This window comes from Homo sapiens, chromosome 3 (assembly GCF_000001405.40).
Source record: "Homo sapiens chromosome 3, GRCh38.p14 Primary Assembly".
Classification (NCBI taxonomy): Eukaryota; Metazoa; Chordata; class Mammalia; order Primates; family Hominidae; genus Homo; species Homo sapiens.
This window is the reverse complement of record NC_000003.12, coordinates 34,871,442-34,893,043: the sequence shown is the minus strand read 5'-3', so window position 1 is coordinate 34,893,043 and position 21,602 is coordinate 34,871,442. Positions and strand designations below refer to the sequence as shown.

General features: G+C 36.9%; 1 long non-coding RNA gene and 1 pseudogene across 1 annotated transcript in view; one reads left to right on the top strand and one right to left on the bottom strand.

Annotated features, from left to right (window-relative positions):
- Positions 1-17,249, top strand: part of LOC101928135 (uncharacterized) — a 518,229-nt gene extending 500,980 nt beyond the window's left edge. Inside the window, exons 3-4 of the long non-coding RNA NR_110817.1 lie at positions 13,578-13,631; positions 16,470-17,249. This is a non-coding gene — a long non-coding RNA (uncharacterized LOC101928135). The remainder of the gene's footprint in view (positions 1-13,577; positions 13,632-16,469) is intronic.
- FECHP1 (ferrochelatase pseudogene 1) lies at positions 17,816-20,463 on the bottom strand (annotated as a pseudogene).

Sequence of the window (21,602 nt, the reverse complement as noted above, 5' to 3'; positions counted from 1 at the left end):
CTTTTCAGGTTCTGCTGCTGCCACTAAAGGGCACATGGGGAAGCTTCTCATTCTCTTGAACCTGTTGAGAATTGAAATATCCCACCCCCATAAGAAGGTGATGACTATCTGACAAACACAGTTATCAAAGTTATAACAGCAGGTGACCTCATATTTCTAGATCCCCCCTCTATCTCATCTTCCCACCCATGTAGGCAAAGGTAAACAGTAAGTCTAAGAATTTAGTCTTAGAAGCCAGCATTGGGCATGTTAACATGCTAACCCATGTCAAAAATTTTCTGTCAACACAGAGAAGACTTTTGCTGTAGGACAGGAAGCAAAGAGCAATTACATTCAGACTTCTGAATGGTAGTGGTGGTGAAAAGTTTATGAGGCTGGAAATAACAAAATTGTAACACATAAATGCAGGGTAACAGAAGACCAAGAACAGGTCCTCTGGTGAATGGACATCAAGGTAGAATCATAGTAATATTGCCAGATTTTTGGAGGATGGGGTATAAATTCTTCACAGCAACTATAAGCATAGTTGGGATGTACTTCATGAGGTCTTGTGGCTGAGTACCTCCAAAGTGTGGGTACACTGTGCTGATCTGGGAAATGTCCCTTTCTCCAGACTTGATGAACTCCCTGTTTGCTGCAAACCAAGTGTGACTGTAATGAAAAAGTCAAAATGCATTCGTTATAATCTGTGGCGTCATGGTGAATACAGTTTAGTAGGATAGCGCTTATGCTCCAGCAGCTCACTGTCTGGTAGGAGAAATTTGAAAGAGCAGTATGGTTAATTTCAGAGATAATTTTGTGCCAGAATCCTCAAGTCACTAATGATTTGCATTACTCTTTGTTATTCTCTTATGTTAATGTAAATCCCTTGAGAGAAAAATAATGTCTATTCCTTAATATGTACCAAAATAGAATCTTAGGAAGTGAGTCTTACGGGATTCAGAATGATTTAATCCTCTCTAATCTGCATTTGGCTATGGGCTATAAGTTACTTAACTACTTAACTCCTTTGTTTTCTCACCTATAAATTTAAACTAAAGATGTGAAGTTTAAAGGAAGTATCCCATATGACAAGCCTCGTGTATGACTTTGCTGCATAGTATATTTCTCGAAAAGATTTTGCTCTTCCTCTTATCTCATAGGTACCATCATATTATCATTCACATTGTTTGCATCCTCTTCCATTTTCTTCACACTTTCCAGAAATGTTTGCCTAACACAAAATGTTTTCATCATAAACATCATGAGAAAGGTCCTTGCAGTGTACTTCTTTACACATTTCTGATTTTTAAAAGTATTCCAAATATTTGAGTGGCTACATTAGACCCTTATGCCACACCAGAGGGTACACATTTTAAAAGTACATTATTGTGTACTTATTATATGCTAGATAGTGTGCTAAAAATTGAGGAAGTAATTATAGTTAGAATCCCCGATTTCAAAAATGCATAATCAAGGAAGGGGATGCTACATATCATAAGTGAAAACAGGACCAAAATGAAGGATAGGCTGAAGTAGCAAAGAGGAAGAAGTCAGTGTTATGCTGAGCCATATTAAAGTCTGAGACAAAAAGAAAAATCAATAATATTGATCCTGCCTTTATTTAAAATTTTGATTTTTTATCATTGATTTTTTGCATTGATTTTTATTTTTAAAATATCGTATTAAAATATTATCTGTCTTGATTGCTGAGTTTTTTGCTCTCCTTAAGTTTCATACATCTAATTGAGAGTGTTATGGACTGAATTCCTTTTCCCTCAAATTAGGACACTGAAGTCCTAACCCCCAATGTGACTGTTTTTTGAGACAGGCCCTTTAAGAAGATAATCAAAGTTAAACAAGGTCATAAGGGTAGGGTCTTTAGAATAAGAGAGAGACTCCAGGCATGCACGCAGAAAGAGGAAAAGCCATGTGAGGACACAGCAAGATGGCAGCCATCTGCAAGCTAAGGAGAGAGGCCTCTGGAGAAACCAAACCTGCCAACAACTTGATCGTGGATTTCCAGCCTCCAGAACTGTGAAAAATACATTTCTGATCTTTAAGGCACCCTGTCTGTGTTATTATGTTATGACAGCCTCAGCTGAAAAGCTAATGGAAAGAAGAAAGATAAGAAGAGATTTCATGAAAAATAAATCACTTGAGTTTAGTGTTAAGGGTCAAAGGGTATGCAGAGTCAGAGAATAAAAGATAAGTCTGGGAATTTTGAGCATGGAGTAGAAATTGTGAAAGTGATCTTTTAGACAGAGGTAATGTCTTTGAGAGAAACATTAAATGCCAAATTTTAGCATATGGAACCAGGCAGACATCAGAGCTGAATTGGCCTCTGACCAGAGACCTACACTGATGCCTCTTTCTGTAAAGTCTGTGAGTTAAGATTTCTATTTTTTATATTTTTTAATTGTTAGAAACAATTCAAAAGGATGATATTTCTTGATACATAAAATTTGTATGAAATTCAAATACAATTTTATTAGGACACATAATACTCATAAATACAATTTTATTAGGACACATAATACACATAAATACAATTTTATTAGGACACAGCCACACTAATACCTACAAGTATGTCTATGGCTGCATTTATGTCACAAAAGCGTAGTTGAGTCATTGTGACAGAGATCACATGGCCCACAAAAGTAAACTATTTGCTGACACTTTATAGTTAAAGAGTACCAGTCCCTGGACCAGACCATGCTCTTTCCACACTTACTTCTAATATAAAACATATTTGTGAAAAGGAGAAGAAAGAAAAGAAAAATGAAAAGAAAAGAAAAAGAAAGAAAAAGAAGGAAGGAAGGGAGGGAGGAAGGAAGGAAGGGAGGGAGGGAGGGAGGGAGGAAGGAGGGAAGGAAGGAAGGAAGGAAGGAAGGAAGGAAGGAAGGAAGGGAGGAAGGAAGGGAGGGAGGGAGGGAGGGAGGGAGGGAAAGAGCAAGCATGAGAAAGGGTTTCGGTTTAGGTTGTGGGAAAAAAGGAAGTGAAGGAGGGGAGATGGAATGGAGAAAGGAAAGAAGAAAATAAGGTGTGTATCTTTTTATTTCCCTAACACTCAATAAAAATAAGAACAGTAGCCCTTAATTTAGCACTGGCAAAAGCAAATGTCTTGCCAGGCTATCCTGAGCCCTTGTGATATCACAGCACCACTGTGAAAGCTACTGAGGTTAGCCACCAGCTCTGATAGGGCTCTTTTCTAAGCCAAAAGTAGCCACATGCTCAGTGTATTATAATGCAGAGCTCATTACACCGAGCACATTTAGTAAACTGTCTTGGACAAAGCGCCTCATTTGCTCACTGTAATGGAGGAAATGGCATACCAGTGTTCACTAAAGCTTTGTGTCTCAGTTGACCCCCCACAGCTGAAAGCACCTATAAGCAAATCTGTGGGAGAATCATTAAGACTGAATGAGTTGTCAGTGTGGAGAGAAGTTTGAGGTAAATGAAAGCATTGCTACATCTACATTTGAAGTAATGGTAAGTGTTGTATCTAAGTAGATCCATTTTGCCTAACGAATAAATATGGCTCAAATATTAATGATGTGATTCTTTTAGATTAATAATTTGCATAACTCAAGCATCCTTAATTAGGTGGTAAATTCATGGCATTGTAGACCTTCAAGTCAATTGCTTCTGCTCTTCACACCATCCCCCCAATATTGTATTGATCAAAATGGCTTATTCTCAGCAATATCTTTCCAATCTCAAATAGAAACCACAGCATAATCATGCTATTCTCTGCCAGTTTTATTCCAATGAAGCATACTGTCATACTCATTTTCTGACATGTGATTATAAAAGAATCTCTAGTCCCTGTAATAAAAAAGTAAGGTTTAGAATGATGATGAAATAGGAAAACTCTTGATTAACTCTCATTTTTGCCATTGTTATTGACAGAATGTTTGTGTCCTCTCAAAATTTATGTGTTGAAATCCTAACCCCCAATGTGATGGTATTAGGAAGTGGGGCATTTGGGAAATGATTAGGTCATGAGTGTAGAGCCTTCCTGAATGGGATTAGTGCCCTTAATAAAAAAATCCTACAAAGTTCTCTTTCCCTTTTCCATCATGTGTGGATGAAGCAAGACAATGTCATTTATGAGGAATGGGCCCTAACACGACACCAAATCTGCCAGTGCTTTGACCTTGGACTTCCCAACCTCCAGAACTCTGATAAATAAATGTGCATTGCTCAAACCTCCCAGTTGATAATATTTTTATTACAGCAACACAAATGGACTAGTATATCTGTATACCAGCTTTGGGATTTCTGACAAGTTACCTAATATTCTAGGGCCTGCTTCCTCATAAATAAAATAAGTTGAAAATAGCAACTTGAAGTTGCTCTGAGGATCACATGAAATAATGTAAGTAATCCTCTTAGCTCAGTTTCTGGTACGTCACTAGCATGCATATGTTGGTTCCCTTTTACACAGTTTTGAAAAATTTAGGCACTGAAATAAAAATTGATAATCTCCAGATCTGATTTTATATTCTAGAAATGTAGTGCAGCTTCTCTGATTTTTAGAAAACATTTTTCTGTGACTATCATAGAAATTTAAACATTTTAAAAGTATAAAATGGAAAAAGAAGAAAAGCATTAGTAAGATTTTACTTATTTGCACAGATATTATTTGTGAAAAAGAATAAGGGAAAGGAATTGTGAAGTGTTTACAATTTATTGATTTGGTCCCAATTTCTGGATGGTAGAATGTTCTAAGGCATCTTACTGGTTATAAAGAAGAAAACAGAATGTTAGAATAACTGGGCACATTCACATTTTAAAAGCTGTGAGCCCCTCCAAACAGAACCACTATTTTTAGCCTGAGGAAGGAAAAATGGAACAACTTGTGGCTTGGGCATTCTACCACTGGGGAAAGAGTTTGGTTTATGTTTTATATGCTTGTTTGTTTGTTTGTTTGTTTCTAGCACCCCATGTCAAACCTGTCTAATTTATGTCTTCAAAATGTCAAGGATCTCCCACCACCTGTAATTTCCACATTCAGATTATTTCTATGCAGCCCTGTCAATGTTAAGCTATTTTAGAGGGAAGTGGGAGAGCTAGGACTGGTCTCCACATGGGAGCACGTATTTCCAAACACAGGGGTGAGCCAGGTGTCTTATTCCATTTGTGCTGCTGCAAGAGAATACCACAGACTGAGTAACTTATAAAGTACAGAGATTTATTTCTCACAGTTCTGGAGGCAGAGAAGTCCAAGATCAAGGCATTGGCATTTGGTGTCTGCTGAGGGCCTTCTGGCTGTGTCCTCACATGGCAGAAGACAAAAGGGCAAAAAGGACCTAGGATAGTCCCCTTGAGCCCTTTTATGAGGAACTAATCCATTCATGAGGGTGGATCCCTCATGACTTAATCATTCCCCAAAAGGCCCTACCTCTTACTACGATTACAACGGAGATTAAGTTTCAACACATAAATTTAGGGGGCCACTCATACCGTAGCATTCTGCCCTGGCCCCAACATTTATGTCTTTCCCACATGGAAAATATATTTTTATTTCATATCAACAACTCAAAGTTCTTAACTAATTCTAGCATTCACTCAAAAGTCGTCTCTCCAGACTCTCATTTAAATTAGATATGGATGAGACTAAAGGTACAATTTATCCTGAGGCAAATCGTTCTCCAGCTCTGAAACTGTGATATCATAGAAGTTATGTACTACATATACAGTGATGGGACAAACATAGTTTAGACATTCCCATTCCAAAAGGGAGCAATAAGAAAGAAGAAAGGAGTAAGTCCCAAATAAGTTAAAAATCCAATAAGGCAAAAAACATTAAATTTTAAGGCTTGAGAATAATATTCTTTGGCTGCATATCCCACCTTTTGGACACACTGGGTTGAGGGTTGGGCCTCTAAGGCCCTGAAGGGGCCCACCCTCACAGCTCTGTGGGGTGCATTCACACAGCAGCTCTTATTGATTGGAGTCAGGTGTCTGAAGATCTATGCGGCTGGGATCACATTCTTGTCTCTGCAGTTCTAAGATCTTGGGGGCAGCCCCACTCTCCCAACTCCACTAGACATTTCCCTAGTGGGGATACTCTCAGCCATCCTTTGCAATCTAGGTGGAGGTAGCTGTGCATCCAATGCTTGTTCACTCTGTGTGCCAGCAGATTTAGTATCAGGTGGACACCACCAAGCTTTACAACTCGTGCCCTCTGCAGTGGTGGCCCAAGCTGCACCTGAGCCCACCTGAGTCACATCTGGAGCAGCCAAAGAGTGCTACGCCAGAATGCAGCCAGCTGAGACTTGAGGCAGCCTGGGCAGTGATCCCTGCAGTCCCACAGGCACCCTGGAACTCTGTAGTGACCTGGGTCTCTCCCTTGAAACCATTCTGCACTCAGTGTTCTGACTCTGGGCCTGTGATGGCAAGGTAGCCTGGAAGATCTCCAAAATGCCCTCAGGGTCATTCTCCCATAGTCTTGATGAATAGCATCTGGCTTCCTTCAATCCGTACTAATCTTCTTATCAACGGGACCGTTGGCTACCTCCTTAGTTTTCTCTCCTAAATATGCTTTTTTATTCTTTACATAGTCAAGCTGAGAATTTCCCAGATCTTTCATGTTCTGCTTCTTCTTTGATTATTAATTCAGTCTTTCACTCATTTCTTTCTTCTTATATTTTACTAAAAGTAGTTTAAAATAAGCCATCTAGTATCCTAAACAAATGATTAGAGATTTCTTCAGCTAAATATCCTAGTTCATTGCTCTTAAATTCTGCCTTCCACAAAGTACTATGACACAAACATAATTCAGCCATGATCTTTGCCACTTTGAAACAAGGATGGCCTTTCCTTCAGTTTCCAGTAACACCTTCCTCATTTCCACCTAAGACCTCATTCAAATGGCCTTTACTGTCCATACATCTACAAACATTCTGTTCACAACCACTTAGATAATCTCTAAGACTGAGGCTTTCTCTATACCTATCCTTTTCTTCTAAGCCTCACCAGAGTCACCCTTAATGCTCCATGGCATTCTAAATGTTTTCAAACATGACCTTCAAAATTGCTTCAGCCTCTACCCATTACCCAGTTCAAAGCTGCTTCCACATTTTTAGGTATTTGTTATGGCAACACCCCACTTCTCAGCACCAATTTCTTAGTCCATTTGTGCTTCTATAACAGAATACACAGACTGGGTAATTTATAAAGGACAGAAATGTATTTCTCACAGTTCCGAAGGATGGGAAGTACAAGATGAAGGCACAAACATTTGCTGTCTGCTGAGAGCCTTCTTGCTGCGTCCTCTATATGACAAAGCAGAAGGTAAAAAGGATCTTTGCTAGTTCCCTCAAGCCCTTTTATGAGGCACGAATACATTCATAAGGGCAGAGCCCTCATGACTTAATCACTTCCCGAAAGGCCCCCTCCCCATAATACCACCACAACCGGGATTCGGTTTTAACACATGAATTTTGGGAGACATTGAGACCATCATATCAGCAGACCATCAAAAACACATTTCTTTATAGTTGGAAGGAAACTTTGACATCGTTATGTCCAGCACTAGATGCTATGAAAAAAGTAAAGCCCGTCTCCCAAGACCAATCTAGAAAGGTTCGAAAATTCTAGATTTGGTGCACAATTTTAAGCAACATATGAAACTCCCAATGTCCATCCATGAAACTCCAGTGCGGTCCATGGAACTTAGATAATGAATTTTTTTTCTATGAATAATGTTTAATAAGAATGGGAGGAGAAATAAAAATTTCTTTGACCAACAAATTTCTCAAAATATTTTGTCAGGGGAAAAAATATACTGTAAAATTTACTGTGTTCTCAGCAACTATTTTTGCTTGGCTAATATTTTCAGAGATCCAGGCAGATGAATAATTTACTTCCAGAAAAAATCTATCATTTCCACATACAATGCATTTGTTAGTGTATCCAGGGCTTTGGGCTATCTTTTTGGCATACTGCATTTACTCTAGCTGAGAAGTAATTCAAATATAGCATATTTTGAATACTAGGTACTTCACTAATCCCTTCATGCTGAAACGATGATAAACAAAAAAAAAAGTTCTGTGGCAAGGATGTGAATTAATATCACCCATACATAGTGTAATCAATAAACTTATTTTAATAGCTGCCTAAGAATAATTGTTACAAGCGTATTTTGCTTTAAAAATTTTCTTAAATTTTTAAATGAGGCAATTTAAAATAATTAAATACACTTTTCTTACATAAAGTTTTCTGTGGGTATTAAAATTTCATGGTTATGAAATAATATGAAAAACAGTACAAAAATGGAGTATGCCAAATTGTGTGTACAGAATGATTACCAAGACAAAAATGAAACACCATGAGATTAAAAAAGAAAAAAACTAGAAAAAGTACCCCAAAATTATATGTGTTATGGAAAATATAACTGGGAGCTATTTTTGTAATATTCTCCACTTACCAATTTTTCTGTCACAAGATTTTACCGCTTTTATAATAAAACAAAGACGTTTTAAGGAATAACCATTTTGGGCAGTGATACTGAATTTTTCTCTAGACATTAAATCAAATAGCAGCTACAAAAGTTACTCTGTGCCAGGGCCCAAACTAAATATGCTGAAATGTTTTACCTGCTGAATTTTCAAAACATTCATATCCCTCTTATGCAAAAGAGGAAATTTATGCTTGAGGTAAGCAAGAAATTCAGTAAGAGGGAGAACTGGCAAAAATGCATGTTCCTTTTCTCCATATTTTTCGTTTTTGGAAACTAACCCTATACTACTTTGCAGTCAAGATGAATGTTTTTTCCTAATCATGGGCTGTATTATCCATACAGCAACAAGGATCTCAGACAGTGTGGGGAAATGTTGAGGGAAAAGGTGGAGAGCAGCAATTGAGACTCCTGAATACTTTACCCTTCATACTGTTCTGTCTAATATGATTGATTAACTGCTGATGCATGCGTAAAACTTGCCATAAAAGCCACCATTCCAAAATATTATACAAATGTTAACATTATAATAATCATACAATTCTTATCTCCATGGATTCTTTTTGTATTTTTTTTTCTTTTCCTGTCTGCTGCCTGAGGTGGAAAGAGGAATAAGAAGAAACAAAGTCAATAGTATTGAGTAACTTTCATGTACCAGGCCGTTTAAGGGTTTCAATGTTTACATATATTTGTGGAGAAACAAAAAAGTTTGATAATATATGATAACTTTTACAAGGAATTTTTAAAATTTCTTTCTGAAGAATGGTCTACATTAGGTTTATAGCCACATTTACATAATATAATATAAGATGCATAATTGTATGCATAAATCAACATATTTACAGCATAATTGTGAGGAAGTGGCACACCCAGGTGGCATTCTGACTCAGTTAAAGGACAAAGCATATTTGTAATGGACAGTGAAGGCAAGCATATGTAACCTTAGAAAGGGAAAAAATATCAAAAGAAAAAATGTCATCATCTGGTTCATCCTTTATTTGTCCCTAGGGTTTTCTTTTTCCCTTGGTATTTTACATAGGAGAGTATTTTGAGACCAGGCTTGGGGGATTTAAAAGCACTTTTGCTCAGAATGGAGCAGATATCATCATGTGGAGCACTATTCCCTCTTGCCTTACTCTTCGTAGAAATAAAAAATAATAAAGGAAGCTTAAAATATCTGACATTCATCAGCAAGGCTACCTGGATCTATCTTGTGCTTTCTGAGAGAAAAAAAAAAGAAAAGGTATGCAAGAAAAGCATTAGTATTTTACCATAGGAGAGCTATTTACTTGAAAATTATAGCCTGTTTTTGTGGATTTCATGGAAAATCAACACACAAACTTAGCCTAAGCCTCATTGTTCTTTCATGACGGTGATACATTGAAGCACCATTGTCTGGCTGAAACATATACAACCACCATTTGCATTTATATTTGAGAAATGGTTTGTCTCCTACTACAGTTTCCCCTTTTTAATAATTGCACATGTGATTTTTTTTCAATTACTGTTCTGTTTGTCATTTTGGAAGTCCTCATTCTTTGTCCTTAGGTACCAGTTGGTGGTGTTTTCTGGCTGGCCTTGCTTACTTCTCCATCTGTCATCAGCATTAATCATTTTATCATGAATTTTAGGGTAGCTCTGTCTGCAATATTTTAACTTCTACTCCCCCTCCTGGCCCCTCATCTACTTTGCAGCTGCAAAGCAGAACTGTATGGAGTATGTGGGCCAACATCATATCTACGGATTGGCATCGTGGACAAAAACATAGAAAGGACAAAGTTAATTCAGCATTACCCTAGAATCTAAAATATTTTAAAAATGACTTCTGTCTTCTCTGTCAAGTTTCTTTTAATTATGTTATTCAGAATTATTTTGAGGGCCAGTGTGAAAGGGGTACAGTAGGCATTTTTGCACTTATTTCTAGACTGTTTTGCACACACAGCAAGAAAAATGTGATATTAACCTGCTTTCCTATAAAATAATTGGTGACCCACTCAGAGAAGAAATTTTGCATAAGTTTACCACAAGTCTAACTATATGTTTTCATTAAACTCTTAGTTCATAGTTGCAGGACACTATAGTTCAAATCATTGAAAGAAGATATCAGCCAAAAGTCATTTCCATTTAGTTTAAACAATTGTTTCATGATATTGTTGGTTTGTTTGTTTAAATAAAAAAAGGCTCTTCAACATTTGGCCAGAGAGGGTGGTCAACTGAACTCCACCTTATAGACCCACCAAGCACATCATATCCCCAAAACTTTCCCATGGAACACATGTTCCTCAAGATATTCTGCCAAAAGGACAACAACAACAACGACGACAACAACAACAAAAGTACTTCTTTATTAGTTATGCTGAACGTTATACATTTCTCTTGAAGATAAAAAGAACTTTGTTATATTAAATACATATATCATATTTTTGACCTAACACCTAGAGTGCCCTATAAAAGTAATGTTTAATGAAATATCTCTTGGTTAGGGCCAAAATCAAAATTCTTTTCTTTGGTATCAGAGAAACAAATCTTAGTGACAGTTATCAAACAAGTGTCTCCAGGGACTCATGTTTCCATTTTTATATCACCACACTGCATCTACCTTGCAGTTTTACTTAAGTAAATAATCATGAATGGATAAATGCATAAGCAACTGATTAGAACCTGAAAATACATATTTTATCTGAAAAAAGTCTTGAGTTATTGGCTCATCACATTGGAATTTTTGCATCATTAAAAAATCCAATAAAGTACACTGTAATAAAGAATTTAACAGAATATCATTGTTTATTCAAACTATTTATCACTTATTTTATTGGTAAGCCATACTAAATTCTAAAGCATGTTTCTGAAAGTTTATGCATCATCCCCCAAATACTTGTATCCTAACTGAGTACTTGGATCTGCCTTATATTTAGAGTTCACAGAGTTGCAAAACCTCTGAGTAGGGCAGGGGATGTTATGGCTAAGATAGGCGAATGTTTCATTGTACAGATGCAGTAAGTAAGCCTCAGATGGCACAAAGGATTTGTATGAGGTCACAAGGATAAATTTTCATAGAGGCGTTTCATACTTTTTTCAGTATATTCAGCAGTATCAAGAACATTTAATAAGAAATTTGATATATTAATTCATTATATTTATATCAACACCTCTCTTAAAAGCTAATTTTTAGATAGAACAGATTCAAAAACCTATTATCTTAAGACTTAATGGAAAGGAAATTTTTCTTACTCATTAATTGGCTAGACTCCTGTGCAATTTGCCAAGAAACGATACTCAGAAGGTCTAGTTTGCAAAAGAGAATCATTTAAAGTAATGAGTGGGTGTCAGTGAGAACTTGTGGGTGTAAAGGTGAAAGTGAGCCACCAGCCAATGACAGACTCCTCAGTACTGTGTGACCTAACTTCATCAGACAAATGTCACTATGCATTGCTTAAAAAGGACACATCTGACCCTCAAATTTTACCTTTAAAGGATTAGAAAATAGTAAGGTAAGAAAGTGGTTTCAATATGAATATCACAAAGTGTAAGCTTTAAATAAATATATTATGCAAAAGAAAGAGCAGCTGTTTACTTCAATAAAAAAGTAGACTGCATAGTTATATGACAATTAGGAAAAATATATAGGAAAAAATAAAAATATGGGACAAATTTATAATAATGATAGTTTTAAACTTGTAAATCTCAATCTTTCAAAAATGTTTAAAACAAAATAAATCTACTAAACTTTATAATAAGGTAGCCAATAATAATCATTTAGTGGTTGAATAGTGCTTTCTACATGTACCATAAAAATAATTTGAAATTTTATTAAAACATGAACCTACATCAACTATGTATGGAGTCTCAAAAAATTACAAGATCTGGGAAATGTGAAGGACATTTTCTTTGACTCAAAGCAATAAAATAGTAATAAAAACAGAAAAAAGTTAACAAGAGTTACAGAAGAAAAAGGGAGAAAACTAGAAAAATTTGTTCTCAGAATGTTAAAGAGAAAAGATTCATGTATTTATGAAGCCAAGTTGTTATAAATAAGCTGTGTCAGAAATATGTACGAAGTAAAGAAAACCTGAGAGCTGAATTTAAAATGAGAATGGGGATGTAGAATAGTAACTTGATACCGCAGAAAATTGTATCACTGCAATAGGAGACAAATGGGAGCAGTGTCCTAGAATTTGACAGAGAAAGCTAAAGAACAAGAATTAGAGAAGAGGTGTTATGGAACACAGATGACAGATCCAGATACCCAGTGTAGATTAGCTGAAATAACTAGCATCCATTCCCAATTAAAACTCTTCTGCGATGAGAATAGAGTCTCCCTTACAATAATATTCAATTCAAATTGACATCCAGTTCAGTTCAAGCTAACTGGCAAAAAGCTTAAAGCATTACCAATAAGTGCAGAAAAAAAATTGAAATGTCTGATTTCAGAACTATATTTGAGAAGTATTTAGGATATTTGGGAATTAAAAGGGAAAGTCAATATATGCTCAAAAGGAAAATATTAATTTTATGCATGAGAATTTGAGTCATTTAAATTACTGTAGTCCCATGAGTGGGAAGCTAAATGTATCAGACCTAAATGCCTCCAGCCCAGTTAAATAAACTGGGCCTCAGTTTATTTATATGTTAAAAAATGGGAATTAGCCAGGTGATCTTAAGTTCCCTTCTAGCTATCCTTGTCAATAAGTCTCAGACAAAATAGACACAGATATCAAAATCTACCCTAAGTGAAACAAGAAAGTTCTTTCTTTCTTTCTTCTAAATAATAGGTAATATTTATTGAATTCTTCTTACATGTCAGATATTATTGTCATAATTTAATCCTCACAACAATCTTTTGAATTGGGTATCAGATTCACCCCATTTTGGAGATCTGGAAACTGAGGCTCAAGGAAGTTAAATAACTTGGCAGAGGTCACAAATCTTGGGGATGTCAGCGACATGTCTTGCAGATTTTGCAACATGATCAAAAGAACCCGCCTCTGTGCCATTAAGTGGCACTGAGTCTCTATAGTGTTATTTTTTTCAGGATTTTAAAACAGCGTCTTGCCTCTCTCTGTATTTCCATGATCCCTAGATGCTCTCTTTGCATTGGACTCTTTTTCCTAATAATCATGGTTTTCTGTAGTTTTCTTCTAGGACTATCAAGGACTATGTGGATCTGACAGGCACTTCTGCTCAGGTAAATGGTGTGGAGGTGTGCACACATTTCCAGTAATTCTTTCACGACTTGGCCTTTTCCCGGATAGCTAGTGTTTGGTTCAGGAAAAGAAAAAAAAAATAGAACTCAGAATTTTCCAGTTGTGTTCTGCAGACCACCGAGTAATACAAACAATCACAATGATATTTTGTGGAAATAATAGAGCTCTATGTTCAAAAAACATATAAACATTCTAACATATAATATTTATCAGATTTCTTTAATAAGGAATTTCTTAAAACTTTTATTATGCCAATGTGTACTATACAGAAATTCTCAGGTTTTTCTAATGATAGAAACTTTATTTTGTTCATGGAGAGTATAATAAACAAATATAACACATTGGGAAGTGCTAAATTATTCAATTATTTGTTTATTCAAATAATAGCTTCATGAGTATCTTCATGAAAATTTATATGATGCTTAAATGAGAAGCTTTGACTATTTGAGCATAATATTATAGATATAAATTGTCAGAGAAATGGAGTTACTTTTCCTTCATTTCAGTTGTGACAGGAGATGAACTATTAAACAAGGAATCTACATCTTTATCTTTTAGAAGATAGGAGGAACTATTTTGGGCCATAGAGTTCAGTTCTATACATTTGTTTCATTCTTTCTGACACAAAGGGTTTAGAATAAACTAAGTTTAGCTTGTATGTGAACACGCAATATAAGCAACAGGAACTCCATTATGGTTAAATCACTGAAGCATGGGTATGAGTCTGACTCAGGTGTGTATGTCAGCTTCTTAATTCCATTTCAAAATTTGCCTTTTCATCAGAGCTAGAAAGCAAACTCTGTTTATCTAGAAAATCAGGCAAGGCCAGGGTCTCTCCATTTATATTGGATTGAAATGTTTCTTTCTCTTTTAGAGCACAGAGCTATTTATCATCATATTGGATGTCTAACAACACAGAACACATCATTCTGGGCTCAGTCATAATGCTTGAGTAATACCAGTGATCAAACTTCTGAAAGCAGTCTGCAATAGGTCACACCACCAACAAATCACAATGGAAAGTGGAATAAAGTAGACCAGTTGAAGGCTAGAAAAAAGTAATTGTACATTTCCCAAAATGAATTGTATTCAATTAAAGGGATATACACACATACACATATATATGTGTTATGCATATATTTGTATAGAAATAGATATATACATACACATACATATATACATACACATATTTATTAGTATGTTCTCACACTGCTATTAAGAAATATCCAAGACTGGGTAATTTATAAAGGAAAGAGGTTTAATTGACTCAGTTCCACATGGCTGGGGAGGCCTCAGGAAACTTACAATCATGGTGGAAGGGGAAGTAAAGAAATCCTTCACATGGTGGCAGAAGAGAGAGAAGTTTATAAGGAAAAGCCTCTTATAAAACCATCAGGTCTCATGAGAACTCATGCACTATCATGAGAACAGCGTGAGGGTAACCACCCCATGATTCAATTACCTCACACCAGGTCCCTCCCATGACACATGGGGATTATGGGTACTACAATTCAAGATGAGATTTGGGTGGGGACACAGCCAAACCATATCATTCCGCCCTGGCCCTCCCAAATCTCATGTCCTCACATTTCAAAACACAATCATGCCCTTCCAACCAACAGTCCCTTAAAGTCTTAACTCATTTCAGTATTAACTCAAAAGTCCAAAGTCTCATTTGAGACAAGGCAAGTCCCTGCCTTGTAAATAATTATTTACCTTTGGATTCTGCTCTTTTGAAAAAATGTCTTTTAGAAGGTAGGTTGACATTAAGAAAACTTTTACATGATTGGCTTTGGCATTTCTGTTGGGTTTCTGGGTCCGTTAAAGTTTGGGCATATGTGGACATGGCAATATGTCAGTGAGAAATTTAGGAAGATGTAGCCAAGGTGAAACATAGCACAACTTTACAGCCTATGAGCCTGTACAATCAAAAGCACTTTAGTTACTTCCTAGGTACAATGGAGTTACAGGCTTTAGGTAAATACACCCGTTCCAAATGGGAAAAAATGCCCAAAATACAGGGGCTACAGGCCCCATGCAATTCTGAAAACCAATAGGGCAGTCATTAAACCTTAAACTTCCAAAATGATCTCCTTTAACTCCATGTCTTACATCCAGGTCACACTGATGCAAGAGGTGGGCTCCCACAGCCTTGGGCAGCTCTGCTCCTGTGGCTTTGCAGGGTGCAGCCCCATTTCAGCTGCATTCACAGGCTGGCATTGAGAGTCTGTGGCTTTTCTGGGAACACAGTGCAGGGTTTTATATGTATATAACACATATACATATACATGTGGTATGCCTATATGTGTATATATGTTTAGAAAAAAATATACATACATATACATATATATACACACACATATATAATAAATGTGAAAGGAGATAACAGATTGCAACTTTTGGAGCAGTCTAATATTTTAAATTTCTAAATTCTTCAGTTAAATTCAGAGGCAATGAATCAAATTAAAAAAGCTTTTTCTTTCCTACTGACATTTTTTTTCCTCCTGGATACACTTGAACATTCTCCTCTCCCTTGAGTAGTTATATAGTTTCTTTTTTGATAAATAGTGCAAAATACAAGAACATAACTAATTCACAGTTTTAATACAGGTGATTTGGTGAAAAAATAAAAGACCAGAAGGACCAATGAGTTTTTATTTGTTGGTAATTTTAGCAAACTCTAGGACAATGTTCCAACATTTTGTACTTTATATTTTTTTATCCTTTATAGCCTATAAAAGTTATCATTGATTTTGAGCTCCTTATGTGTACTCTTTGTATCTGTTTCACTTCATTAGTTTCAATTATTTTATTTCTAGCTCTCCTCTAGAGACTCCTAGAACATCATCGTTTCCTGATTTCTTTGCTGGCTGCTTTTATAACCAAACTCCAAACATCAAAATTATCATCTTAGTCCTGGGTGTTCTGTCCTAATGTGTTAACTGCAAAAATGACCTCAATTCTTAGGAACTTCTGCCATCAGTAGCTGGAGTCTATTGGGTTTCAAGTCTGGGCCTCAAGAGGCATTGCAAACTTTCATCCTCTCTTTTGAGATTTCAGCACCATCACCAAATGAACAAGTCCCAGGTAGCCTGCTGGAGGATGTACAACCATGTGGAACGCCGATGAGCCATCACAGCTGAGTTGTTTTGGACCTGCTAGCTCTAAACCAATGTCGCAGCTGTCTGTAGAAGCACGAATGAGATATGGCCAAGCTCCATTGAGCCTGGCCCAGATAAGCAGAACTGTTTCACGGAGCCCAGGACAAATTGCCAAACCCCAGTATTGTGTATTCAATAATTTCTAGTTGTTCTAAGCCACTAAGTTTCAGGGTGACTTGTTAAGTGGTTATAACTACCTAATAAGTACATTTTGTATTTCCTTTTTATTATCATCTACCATAGCCTGTTATTATTTTCTTTGTTTGTTTATTTATTTATTAGCTGTTTCTCTGCAAATGTAGGACAATTGCATTGTCTTGTCCTCTGATGTATTCAAAACAGTTGGTGACTGGCACGTCAAAGACACTTATTGAAAAGTTACTGAATAAATGAACACATGATTGGATGAATAAATGTTTATAGGTAAAACTTCCAAAAGTATATTGATAAAAATGAATATTTCTATCAGTTATATTAATAACTTATTTGCTGTCTAGAATGACTCAGGAAATTTAATGTATATTATTAAAGCACAATTTCTATTTTTTGTTTTAGGTTGTTTTTCTGCCATTGCTATCTACTTTGATTATTTTGCTATGTTTTTGATTTGTACATCTCCATTACATTGAAACAGTTTTGAAAACGTCTTCTTCTCTTAAAAAGTTTTTAGCCACAGTGATGTATCCACTTTTTTTGTTTTTAAGACAGAATCTTGCTCTGTTGCCCAGGCTAGAGCACAGTGGTGACATCTCGGTTCACTGCAAACTCCACCTCCTCGGTTCAAGCAATCCTCTTGCCTCAGCCTCCTGAGTAGCTGAGATCACACCCAGCTAATTTTTTTTTTTTTGTATTTTTAATAGAGATTGGGTATCACCACGTTGGCCAGGCTCATTTTGAACTCCCGACCTCAAGTGATCCGCCCGCCTCCCCCACTCAAAGTGCTGGGATTACAGGCATGAGCCACGAGCCTAGCGATATCTCCACTTTCATATGTTTATTTATTGATTGGTGTCATAATATTTATTAACATAGCAAATTCTCAATATAGAAGATCTATGAATTCACAAATATTTCCACTTTGTAAGCTAGCTTATACAAAATCAAATAAGTGCTTTTTTGAAGAACAAAGTTTTAGGGCTTGGAGGAAAGAGAAAGTGATCATTAAAAATTCTTCATAGATCCATCAAGGATCTTTTAACCTACTTAAATCCAAATATAGAAGATCATATTCTGATATGACATTATTTTCACATTTTTATAACAACTTCTCACTCACAAATCCAAGGTGACAATGGCATTAAAAATATCTACAGGACAAGATTGGTATGAAAAGCAATAACATGATAATAGTGTTACATTAGAGCAGTTATTTTTATTTTCTGTATTTTTCACATGTCCTATTTGGCTATATAATTTTTATAACAAAAAATAGTAAATTAAGAAAGAATTCAACCTTACAAAGTATAGTTGACCATATAAAGTAATTCTTAAAACAAATGTACAGAAAGGAGACATTCAACTAAGAGAAACAAGATGCTGGATGCAAATGCTTGTGATGATCCCTGAAGGAGATGTAAGGATGAACACCATCCTTACCATTTCCCAGCAGTGCTGCCCTTGCAGATAGGAACCCCTTTCCTATGCAACCACAGACACCCACCAAAGCATGTATAACATTTATTAGCCTTGGGTGCCTAGGGAATTTCAGAGTACTTCTGAAATCTGTACTTGATTCAATTTTACACTGAGGAAAGTAAGAGACACACAAATATCAAATGACTAATGAATGGCGGCCTCGCTGGCAACAGCAGCCATTGTAGGTAGCCAAATTGCCTTACTGGCATTCTATAACCCACGGGCTTAGGGAAAGATTAACATTTCTTTTTTGAATTCATTTCAAATACTCAACTATGTTTATTTTAATAACTACAATTATATGCACAAGACTGAACAGATCCTGTTCACACTGAAAGCCCACAGAGGGGACTCTGCATCTTTTCAGGAGTTTTTTAGGCAATAAAACCAAAATCTATATTTAAAATAGGTGTGTGTCTCATAAGATAAATTTTTCCACTCATTTATTGACTGTCCTATTGAACATTACAAATTAGTAATTTATACCTAGAGAGAGGAAATATCAATGCCCACTGTATAGTTATATAAAAACAGAAATTCATCACAATAGTCCAATCCTCAAGAAAACACATAATTTGTGCCCAAAGACTACATATACTAAGATGACTTCCTTCCTTGATCTCTAAATAACATGCCTCTCCACATGGGCAGGAGCTAGAGGTTGGTCATGTGCCTAATCCCATGGAATCCACCTTGGGGGAGTCACAGCTGCCAGTTGGTGAAGAATCCGATCTCTCTGCAGACAATTTAGAATTGGTGAAGAATTTAATCTCCCTGCAGACAGGATTTACACTGAGCAGACAACTCAGAGTCAACTCTGTGGAGCACAGCTCGTTTAACTGGATAGGTGAGTGCACCAAGTAAGCCAGGGCCTTAGAGAACACTAGATTTTCATTAAGAGGCTGCTCTTCTGATGTTTTCAACTCCACACTCATTGTCTAAAACTTGAGCGTACTCGATATCCAGTTTCTACAGCATTTCGGTGTTATCGTTGGTAAATGCTATCAAAAGTGAGAGGATATTCTTCTTTCCCCTCTCAGAAAGCCCTCTGATAGATTTCATCTGTTTGAAGACCCATCCAGGGCACTGAACCAACCTTGGATCCTCACACCAGCTGGTAAGGGTTGCAGTAACCCAACCTTTCTATGACTTTTTGGATAGTGGCACTTAACTCCTGAGAATAGGGGTCTCCTCTGTTGATCACGGATATTGGCAGTGAGTGAGCAGAAAAGAGAATGGCCGACTCGCTTCTCTTCTCCAGTGGAAAATGGTCCAGCTCTTTCAGAATGTAGTCAACAAAGCAGTGGGTGAGGAGGCAATGGGTGGGCCACCTACTGATAGTGCTGCACTTCATTGTAAACTTCTGTCCCACTCTATTATAGGATCTTTAAATGGCATTTAAGCTGCCGCCTGTGGTACAGCAAGCATACTGTGGATCCTGCATGAAAGCAATAGCCCTTTCCAGGCCATCTCTCTCCATCTCTTCATTTGCTTCTTTTAGTAAAGAATGGACATGCCAAAATCCAATGAAGTATTATTTGTGAGGGGCTGTGTAGGGGGACAAGTCATCCAGCAGCTTCACCATAATACCTTCTCCCTGCTTGGAAATCCACATCTTGATGGAGGACCCACCTCCTGTTCTGTGGTACTGCCCTTGAATCTTGGAGGTTCTGCATTTGGCAAAGAATGGTGTAAACTTATTTTGAACAGTAAGTGTCATGAGGTCTTGGTCCAAAAAGAGCCTCAGAAGGAAGTCATGAACGTGTCAGAGGGTTTCAGGTCCTCCCATGTTTAGCATTAATATTCCAGTTTTCAGCTTCCTCTTCACTTGAACTTGAGGTTTTGCACCCTGGCCACACTGGGCTGTTTCTGTGACACCTGACTGGCACTTCTATGGATGACAGGCCCTCAAGCTGCCTTGTGCCAGCCGATACATTCCCGGGGCAACCTTCACCGAGTCCCAGACTCCTCCCATGGCAGCGCCCACAGGTGTCAGCCCAGCCAGGGCCCAGCCAGGATCTCTCCTCACCGATATCCCAGGACACCTGACTTCATGTGGTGCCCCCGTAGCCCTCCCAGTGCCTGTTTGTTTGAATTGCTTCATTCCACTAAATACATAACAATCTTAACGTGGTATTAAATATGAGTAAAAATCAAAATCAGAAAGAAATATATATATACACATATGAATGTCCACAGCTAGAGAAAATACATTCAATACAGATATTCAACATGGTCTTAGAGTCTTGTAAGTTGCTAGAGTTGGTCTGTACATTTGCCTCTGTCCTTCCTCAAGGCCTGAATGATAAGGTAAACATAATTCTTATTTTATCATAAAAGGAATGAAGATCAGTTTCCTCTTGCTTGCTGGGAATTTATTCTGGTTTTAGAGTTTCAGCTTCTAGTTGATGTGACTTAGAAGAAACCTATGACATTTAATGTAGAATGTTGAGGATATCTTTTACAATTCATTAGATGTCTTCTGTATGAGGCTCAATTCAGATATTCCATTTACATTAATTGGAATATTCTCATCACTAAACTTTCCTGGATTGGGCACCATGTTACCTCGTCCCATGCTTTCCTTCTACAGGAGAGTGGGTTGTATCTTCACTCGTAACAATCAGGTACCACTTCTTGTACATTTTTTTATCTTTAAATTATTGTTATAGTCCTATGTTCCCTGAAATTCTGTCTTCTGTTCCTTTTCTCTAAGTGTTTATCTGTTCATAATATGTTACCACTACTTTACTAGGATCAGGAGGTTCAAGAGATGAAAGACTGTATTCCATGTGCAGTGTCTAACCACACTCTGCCATTGCACCCTTGCCAGACATAAAGATGAGGAATAGTAACTTTCCTTGCAGACTCCAAGGACTCTTTTTCCTCATTGTTTTACACCTTGTACCAGGTGTTACAGCTGCTTATATAAAGTAGATACTCAACTGAATTGTGTAAAGAAACCTCCCTTACTTTGCTCTTTAGTGTCCTTGCTTTTTTTTAACCTGTTGTTTCCTCTCCCTGAAATGCCTCTACCTGGCAAATTTCTATTCACAACTCAAAGCCCAGCTGACATATCACCTCCTCTTAAGTCTTCCTTGACCACATCCAGAATGGAGTCAATCACTCCCTTATTTTTATGTCCTCAGTACCTTG